General features: G+C 46.3%; 1 protein-coding gene across 14 annotated transcripts in view, besides 1 other annotated feature; it reads left to right on the top strand.

Annotated features, from left to right (window-relative positions):
- Window positions 277-777: an enhancer, noted in NCBI's record as "H3K27ac hESC enhancer chr19:22040519-22041019 (GRCh37/hg19 assembly coordinates)". NCBI's record gives its function as "activates a minimal SCP1, AML or CMV promoter by ChIP-STARR-seq in naive H9 embryonic stem cells {active_cell/tissue: H9 hESC(naive)}" and the evidence as "EXISTENCE:reporter gene assay evidence [ECO:0000049][PMID:30033119]".
- Window positions 6,429-9,601, top strand: part of ZNF43 (zinc finger protein 43) — a 47,120-nt gene continuing 43,947 nt past the window's right edge. For 6 of the 14 annotated variants that reach the window (XM_017027214.3, XM_047439316.1, XM_017027212.3 and 3 more), the window contains exons 1-2: window positions 6,429-6,589; window positions 7,134-7,556. Coding sequence is in view for 1 of the 14 variants with exons in the window: in NM_001256653.2 (NP_001243582.1) it covers window positions 6,560-6,589 (30 nt within the window). In the remaining 13 variants the exon portion in view is untranslated. The remainder of the gene's footprint in view (window positions 6,590-7,133; window positions 7,557-9,601) is intronic. The other 8 variants (NM_001256651.2, NM_001256653.2, NM_001256650.2 and 5 more) reach the window with 4 other exon arrangements.

Raw genomic sequence — 9,601 nt, 5'->3', positions numbered from 1 at the left:
TGAAGAGAGTCCACCAACAGGCTTTGTGTGAGGAACAAGGTTGTTTATTTCACTTGGGTGCAAGTGGGCTGAGTCTGAAAACAGAGCCAGCAAAGGGAGATAGGGGTGGGGCAGTTTTATAGGATTGGGGTAGGTAGTGGAAAATTACAGTCAAAGGGAATTTTTCTCTTGCAGGCAGCGGGGTGGGGGGGATTACAAGGTGCTCGGTAAGGGAGCTTCTGAGACTCATTGTCCAGGAGAAGGAATGTCACAAGGTTAATTGATCAGTCAGGGTGGGGTAGGAACAAATCACAATGGTGGATTGTCATCAGTTAAGGCAGGAACTGGCCATTTTCACTTCTTTCATTGTTCTTCAGTTGCCTCAGGCCATCTGGATGTATATGTGCAGGCTTGGGCTCAGAGGCCTGACAGAACCCCATCTCTACAAAAATAAAATGTACAAATCACAAAGTAAGGTTAGCCAGTGGCGGGTGGTGTGTGCCTGTACTCTCAGCTACTGGGGAGTGTGGGGGCTGAAATGAGAGGATTGCTTGAACCTGGGAGGTTGAGGCTGCTGTGAGTTAAGATCACACCACTGTATTGCAGCCTGGGTGACAAAGTGAGAACCTGTCTAAAAATAAAAATAAATAATAATAATAATAAAAACAAACAGTAACAAGTGACAAAGAAAGAACAAACAATATTAAAATTTTTTTAACGGAGTGAACAAAGGTAAATAAGATCCTAATTAACTGTACCCCCCATCTCCCTCTGGCAGGGTTTTCTTCTGTCACCCAGGCTGTAGGGCAGTGGCGTGATCAAGCTATCCCTGTAGTTTCAGCCACTTGGGAGGCTGAGACAGGAGCAACCCCTGAGACCAGGGAGGTCGAGGCTGCAGGGAGCTATGGTTGCCCAACTGCACTCTAGCCTGCATGACAGTGAGAAGACTTCACTCAGAAAAAAGAAAGAAAAAGAAGAAGAAAGAAAGAAATTAAAACAACAACTTTAGTGTGCAGGAAGGAGCATAAAGAGACAGAGAACAAAGGAAAACAACAACTAAAGTGATGCAAAAAGAAAATGGAAGTGGAACTAGAAAAAAAAATCACAGGAAGATCACTGGGGCCCCAGCTCCTCAGAAGAGGGAAATGGGAGGCCCACGTGGGCGAGCCCTAGGGCAGGGGAGTGGGTTCGAGGCCTCAGCGAGCCATGATCACAGCCCTCTGCTGGACCTAGGAGACACTACTGCGTGTAAATATTTAAATGTTTGATATTAAATATTAAGGTCGACCTTCAATATTTGGAGCTGGTGGCCAAGTGTAACACCTGCAGCTCACAGCCCATATGTGATCAAACTGGTGGCTCAACTGAGAAGCCAGCCAGTGGCTGTGGGCAGTGGTGCACTGGGTCCACCCTACAGCCAAGTGTTATAATGCCCAACCTTGTTTTTACTAACCCTGTTTTTAGACTCTCTCTTTTGCTCCCTTAATCACCTAGACTTGTTTCCACATGAATAAACTCTCCCTTAGCTGAGAAAAGCTGGACGAACTCCATCTGGCCCCCGTGATTTACAAGACATTAAGGACTCCTTACCCACCCCCTTCTTCAAGGAGTTAACTTGTGTAAACAGATTCTCAACATATCAAAAGAATTCAATTAACTGATAAGGTACCGAAACAAACCATGTATGAAGTTCCCAGGATTTTGCTCAAAAGATAACACCATAAAGCCTTGAGTTTGTGTCCGGAGTAGTGCCCATATCTAACTCTTATGAAGGATTTAGATCCCCGCACCTGGTACCTTTGCTTTTTTTGTAACCATTTGTCTTTTAAGTTGTTTGTTTCTCTGTAACCATTTGTCCTTTTAATTTCTTGCATGTTTTTACTTCTGAAGAGTTGTTGCATTTAAGCTCCCCTCCCTTTCCTAAACCAAAGTATAAAAGTTAATCAAGCCCCTTCCTCGGGGCCGAGAGAATTTTGAGCTTTAGCAGTCTCTTTGGCCGCCGGCTGAATAAAGGACTCTTAATTCGTCTCAAAGTGTGGCGTTTTGCTAACTCGCTCAGGTACGACAATCTCGGCTCGCTGCAACCTCCACCTTCCCCGGTTCAAGTGATGCTCCTGCCTCAGCCTCTGAAGTAGCTGGGATTACAGGCACCCGCCACCATACCTGGCTAATTTTTGTATTTTTCTAGAGAAGGGTTTCACTATGTTGTTGATCAGGCTGGTCTTGAACCCCTGACCTCACGTGATCCGCCTGCCTCGGCCTCCTAAAGTGCTATGATTACAGGCATGAGCCACCGTGCCTGGCCAAAGTAGTTTTCTTCTAAGTTTTCAGTCTTCTCTCATACTGGTAGTAGACCTGGAATCACAGGACAATGGGCAGTGTGACAGCCTGTGTACAGGAGAGCAGAGCTTTCCATTTCCAGACACCCAGAGTTTTATTCCAGGCCAGGTCTCTATTATATTGTTTTTCTGGCAAACCTATAGAGTTTGCTGAACACCAAGCAATTCTCCAACACCAACCTATTGTCTAACATTTGAATTCTGATACCACCCAGAATCAACACAGACCCTGATTCAGGGTTCGGTTCCATAAGTTTTTCCTTAGTGCAGATGCCACTCACAAACCCCACGGGCTTATCTATGCTTCTGAGGTACTTTTGAAAAAGTGAGGACCTCCATAACCTCCCTCAAGTTAAATAATTTGATAGAGCTACTCACAGAACTCAGCAAAACACTGCAGTTATGGTGACCAGTTAATTATATAAGATACAACTCAGGAAAACTGAAATGGAAAAAATGTACAGAATAAAAAAAAGGTGGGGAAAGACGAAGAACATAAATTCCTTTCCAATTATGAATTACAGGGTGCTACCACATAGCCAGAAATAGGCTCTGCACATTTTCTCCTTGTTCTCATTAAAAAATCAGCTAAATTTGTCTTCAGCAGTCAAAATAAACTACTTCTAAATCAAACCTCACTTAAGTTTATTTCTTTCCCACAGACTCCTGAACTTTAAGCTACCCTACCCTCAGTCTGAGCCAAAATACAATCCCATTTTATGTCCCTCCTAAGATTCTCCTGAACCAGAATCTGATTTTTTTCACTCTCCATTTGCCATTCTCCTCCTACCTTATCTTTAAATCTTGTTTGCTCCTCCCTATGAAAGAAAGCCCTGGTCTGCCTATCCTTTGCAATCCTTAATGCTCTTATAATTAGTACTTCTTCCTGTTTCAATACTTCTTTGGATTTTAAATTATTCTACATAAATCTGTTTTATTTTACAACTTTTAGAAACGGCCTCAAAACAAGAACAATATTATCTTCAGGAAGAATCTTTCAGGGGGCCAGGTGCGGTGGCTCACACCTGTAATCCCGGCACTTTGGGAGGCTGAGGCGGGTGGATCACAAGGTCAAGAGATCGAGACCATCCTGGCTAACACTGTGAAACTCCGTCTCTACTAAAAATACAAAGAATTAGCTGGGCGTGGTGGCACGCGCCTGTAGTCCCAGCTACTCAGGAGGCTGAGGCAGGAGAATCACTTGAACCCGGGAGGTGGAGGTTGCAGTGAGCCGAGAGTGTGCCACTGCACTCCAGCCTGGGTGACAGAGCGAGACTCTGTCTCAAAAAAAAAAAAAAAAAAAGAATCTTTCAGGCCGGGCGCGGTGGCTCATGCCTGTAATCTCAGCACTTTGGGAGGCCGAGGCACGTGGATCGTGAGGTCAGAAGTTTGAGACCAGCCTGACCCACATGGAGAAACTCCGTCTCTACTAAAAATAGAAAATTAGCTGGGCGTGGTGGTGCATGCCTGTAATCCCAGCTATTCAGGAGGCAGGAAAATCACTTGAACCCAGGAGGCAGAGGTTGCAGTGAGCCGAGATGGCGCCATTGCACTCCAGCCTAGGCAACAAGAGCAAAACTCTGTCTCACAAAAAAAAAAAAAAAAAAAAAAGAGTATGTCAGTCCCCTTCCATCTTAACCTTAAATGCATCTGCCTGTGGGTCCCCAGCTTTCCAGGGCTCTGTAGCTTCTCTCAGTATATAGTCTTCTTTCAGGACTTGGACATCTGCCCAGGAAGCTCCCAAGGAAGAACAAACTGGGCCTTTAATAACCTCCTATTGCAGGATCAATATTAGCTTTAGCTTGGAGTCACTGGGTGCAAGCTTTAATTTCCATGTCAGAGTTATTCACTTGGTTTTTGGAAGTTTAAGTGTTTGAAAAATCCAGCGAAATTACCCAAACAGTGTTTATATAAAAAAAGGAGACCAGGTGCGGTGGCTCATGCCTGTAATCCCAGCACTTTGGGAGGCCAAGGAGGGTGGATCACCTGAGGTCAGGAGTTCGAGACCAGCCTGAACAACATGGCGAAACCCCATCTCTACTAAAAATACAAAAATTAGCCAGGCATGGTGGCAGGCACCTGTAATCTCAGCTACTCAGGAGAATTGCCTGAACCCGGGAGGCAAAGGTTGCAGTGAGCCGAGATTGTGCCACTGCACTCCAGCCTGGGCGACAGAGCGAGACTCTGCCACAAAAAAAAAGAGGAAATTTTAAGGTGCTTACATTTCATACCTCAGTAAGAAAAGCAAAAGTATCTATTCCTTTCAGACAATAAGTGTGTTATTATATTATTTCCATTAAAAATCATGTAGTAATTAGTCATATGGGAACACTTTTAGTAGGTTCCAAGTTTCATCTTACAAAATTTGACATTAAACCCAGAAATCAAGATAACAGGATGTAGAACAGGTATAGTCAATGTCACAAATTTACCCTGCACAAAGAGGAACTGATGTTTTTGCGAATCTTGTAACTTGCCCATTATCTACCACTTTTTTTTTAATGTATGCATTTTTTACAGCCAAAACGGAAAATATATTTTACCTATTCTTTTCTTTGGTAGCATTTTAAAAGATAAGCCTTGGAATTCTGTTTGAAATTCACTCAGCCATAAAAAACACACCTTACAGGAAAAAAAAAAAAAGGGTAAATGAGAATTTTAAACAAATGGAATGCGTGATTAGATTTATTTTCTGAAACCCACCTCTTTTATGACCTCTCAGGAGACACTGCACTATGTCCCAGGGAGTTTCCAAGTGCATTTTACTTTGCAAGTTCTTGCACCATCTCACCGGGGTCAGGTTTTTGTGTCTTGCTTTGTTTTTTAGGGATACCATTTTTCCCACGAATCTCAGAGAATCCAGAGGCAGAAATCGTTTCTGTTTTCACCTCAATACCAGCATCTGATTGGCTGACCAGCAATGTGTGTCCAAGAAATGGAAACTGGCTTGGATGAAGACAATCTTTTTTTTTTTTTTGAGACGGAGTCTCGCTCTGTCGCTAGGCTAGAGTGCTGTGGCGCGATCTCGGCTCACTGCAACCTCCAACTCCCTGATTCAAGGGATTCTCCTGGCTCTGCCTCCCGAGTAGCTGGGATTACAGGCATGCTCCACCACGCCCGGCTAATTTTTTTGTACTTTTAGTAGAGACGGGGTTTCACCATGTTGGCTAGGATGGTCTCCATCTCCTGACCTCGTGATCCGCCCGCCTCGGCCTCCCAAAGTGCTGGGATTACAGGCGTGAGCCACCACGCCGGCAACAAAAGTGAACTTCTAAGGTTGTGTCATCTGTTTCACCTCTCAGCCCTCCAAGCTATCACTGTTAAATATAATGGGTATTGAGAAAACTGTTAGATATTATTAAGGAATTTCTATATATCCTCCAGTTGAGTTAGGTGTTCTGATGTAGCTCAAGTATTTTCTTATCCCTACCTCCAGGGTCTAAACTAGCAAATTACATCAGGACACCTACAGAGGACAATTGGCGATTTTCCAATAGAAAGTGAAATAACCCCGTTAATGAGAGTAATGCAGTTATTTTAAAAAAAGAGAAGTCAGATTGAGATGTAGCACAGTCAGGGCACAATTACCCTGATAATAGCCACTTCACAGAGATTGGTTTAGATGTTTTTCTAAAATGAGCAAATTTAGGCAACATAATTCATGTTTATCTATCCCTAGCCCCAGCTGCTTCCCCGTTCCTAATGGTCATCCCAAGATGTGTACAGCAGTGTGGTACAGCACGGTGAGAGAGACCCTCAGGGATGGGACGAGGGTCTTTGCTGCATTGTCAACATAATTAAAAAGTTGTTAAAAGGGTATCCAAATGTTCTGTTTCTTCCCCTTCAGTAGCTACTAAGATGCACTATACAAGCTGACCCAGGGAAGGAAAAAAGCAAGTGCATTTCAAGGCTCAGCTCACTTGATTAGCTGTAATTCCCTGGGCATGTGCCCCGCCTACTTGAGCCTGTTTCCCTGTCCATAAAATGCGCAAACGCTAGGGAGGGTGGGTCCTGGAGCTTTATCCAATCAGTGGCGCTGGCGTGGGAACCACCCAATCAGACGCGCAGTTGGAGAGGGGGCCGTGGCTTCCGGCTTTTGGCGGGGCCTTTGTCTCCAGCTCCCGCTAGACCTTGGGACCCGCCTCTGCTTTTCCGCGTTCTCCAACTCGGGAATCCCCGGTGACTTTGTCGCAGCCTCCGTTACCCTGTGATCTGCAAGTCCTGGGAGACGCACAGCTAAGATGCCCGGACATCCTGGAAGCTGGGAAATGGTGAGTGTGCGGGGTTAGGCATCCCGAGAGGGGAGAGCAGGCTGTGAAAGTGGCGGGACCGGCCTCCTCACAGTCCGCTCCTGAGTCCTGGTCGCTGGCGCAGCTCCGCCCCAGGCCCCTCTGGCCGCAAGATGGCGGCTGGGCCCGCAGCCGAGCCTCCCGCGTCCCGCCCCATTCCTGCGCGGTACCCTGTCTGGAGCTCTCTGGTCAGCTCTGCACCAGCAGCCCCGAGTATTTCCCAGATTGTTCAGGGATGCCCGGCGGATGATCGGGGCAGAATCCCGACTCGGTGTGTGCGCAGGAGGAGCTGCGGCCCTGGGGTCTTCAGTTTCTGTTGTTAATTTTTTTTTTTTTTTTTTTTTTTTGAGAGGGAATCTTGCTATGTCGCCCAGGCTGAAATGTAGTGGCGCGATCTCGGCTCACTGCAACCTCGCCTCCAGGTTCAAGCGATTCTCCTGCCTCAGCCTTCCGATTAGCTGGGATTACAGGTGCGCACCACCAGGCCCGGCTAATTTTTATTTATTTATTTTTTTATTTTTACTAGAGATGGGGTTTCACCATGTTGGCCAGGCTGATCTCGAACTCCAGACCTCAGGTCATACGCCCGCCTCAGCCTCCCAAAAGTCCTGGGATTACAGGCGTGAGCCACCGCGCCCGGCCTCTTAGGAACATTTCTGAATCTCACACTCGGAGGCTGTCAAAAGTTGGATAATTGACTTTCATATGCGGGCCTGGTCCACAGGTGGGTTGGTTACTCTCAGACCAAGATTCAGTACACATGTGAGGCTGTGACTGCACTGAAAAGCACAGTCCGCAGACAAAATTGTGGCTCTCTTGCAATACCGTCAACCATTGAGATTGTGACTCACGTACTTAGACAGACCCAACATACAGGAGGTGTTGACCCTCATACCTGGAACCTGGACATGTGTGGAATTTCTAATCTCATTCCTGGACTTTCCTGCAGGTAAGATTGCATGCATCTACTAAGCACCTTAGTGATTTGACTCCTGCCTTGGCCCAGCCCACAGATGGAGATTGTGACATATCGCTTGACTTTGCACCTTGAAGATGTGACTTTTTTCCAGCTTTGGTGCTGCCCACAGATGGCATTGTGACACATAGCTGGGCCTTTCACTGAGGTGATGGGAGTCTTTTTTCTTGCCTTGGCACTGTCCACAAGGTGCATTGTTACATATTGCTAAGCCCTGCTCTCAGGTTATGTGACTCTCCTTTTTTCCTTAGTCCCTGAATATTTTGGACGTTAGGACATGTTACTAGGTCTAACACCTATACAATAAGAGGCTCCTGCCCAGGCCCTTTCTTTTTCTTTTTTTGTTTGTTTGAGACAGAGAATCGCCTTGTCTCCCAGGCTGGAGTGCAGTGGTGCGATCTCGGCTCACTGCAACTTCCGCTTCCCAGGTTCAAATGATTCTCCTGCCTCAGTCTCCTGAAGTGCTGGGATTACAGGTGCCTGCCACCATGCCCGGCTAATTTTTGTATTTTTAGTGGAGATGGGGTTTCACCATGTTGGCCAGGCTGGTCTGAACTCCTGACCTCGTGATCCACCTGCTTCGGCCTCCCGAAGTGCTGGGATTACAGGTGTGACCCACCGTGTCTGGCCCTGCCCAGGCCCTTTCTACAGAGGGCCTTGTGACATATCTCTGCATCAATCACCTAGGAGAGTGACTCTCCATTTTTGCCTGCACTCTGCCTACAGGAAAAATTTTGACTTATCACTAGACTCAGGTAATGTGTCTCTCCTGCCTGGGCCTGGACCACAGAGAGCATTGTTATCCATTGCTGGGCTCAGCACCCAGGTGATGTGACTCTGCTGCCTGTGTCCTGCTTTCAGAGGAAGTTTGTTACATATTCCTGGCTAAATATTCAGGTGATGTGATACTCCTGTCTGGTCTCTGCCCTCAGAAAAGACTGTGACATATTCCTGACCCAAAACGCACGTGATGCGACTCCTCTCTCCCTATTCACAGGTGGGATTGTGAAATATAGCTTGGCCCAGTTTGCAGGTGCAATTATGACTCTTCTACCCTCAACCAGCCAGTAAGAGAGATGCTGCCTCTTATAGCTAGGCTTAGGGTTATGAGTATTATCCTGGGTCTCTTTCTTGTACAAATGTCATAGAGAATTACTTTTTTTTTTTTGAGATGGAGTTTCGTTTATGTTGCCCAGGCTGGAGTGTAGTGGTGCAATCTCAGCTCACTGCAACCTCCGCCTCCTGGGCAATTTTTATATTTTTAGTAGAGATAGGATTTTGCCATGTTGGCCAGGCTGCTCTTGAACTCCTGACCTTAGGTGATCCACCCACCTCGGCCTCCCCAGGTGTTGGGATTACAGGCATGAGCTACCATGCCCAACTGAGAATTACCACTTTTTTTTTTTTTTTTTTTTTTTTTTTGAGGCAGGGTTTTGCCCTTGTTGTCCAGGCTGGAGTACAATGGCGAGATCTTGGCTCACTGCAACCTCCGCCTCCTGGGTTCAAGCGATTCTCCTGCCTCAGTCTCCTGAGTAGCTGGGATTACAGGCATGTGCCACTACGCCTGGCTAATTTTGTATTTTGAGTAGAGACGGGGTTTCTCAGTGTTGGTCAGGCTAGTCTAGAACTCCCGACCTCAGGTTATCCACCCGCCTCGGCCTCCCAAAGTGCTGGGGTTACAGGCGCCAGCCACCGTGCCCAGCCAAATTACCACTGTTTTGAATACTATATAAATCTCTCGTGGTACAGAGAGTGTCATTATAGAGTTCAGCAAGCAGGTGAGATTGTGTTTCTTCTTTGCCCACCCCACCAACCGTTAGAATTGTCACCCTCACACAGTGATGGAGCCCACTGGTGAGGTCCTGAATCTCATGCACAGACACAGTCCACCGTTAAAATTGTGGCTGTTATATGTGAACATTCCGCAGGAGTTTGAAAAATGACTCATTTCTAAATCTAGTTCATAGGTGAGAATTTTTCAATCTGAACCAATGAGAAGTCTACCTTCCTGAGGACAT

This window comes from Homo sapiens, chromosome 19 (assembly GCF_000001405.40).
Source record: "Homo sapiens chromosome 19, GRCh38.p14 Primary Assembly".
NCBI lineage: Eukaryota > Metazoa > Chordata > Mammalia > Primates > Hominidae > Homo > Homo sapiens.
The sequence above is the reverse complement of the archived record's forward strand: the minus strand, read 5'-3'. Positions and strand labels throughout refer to the sequence as shown.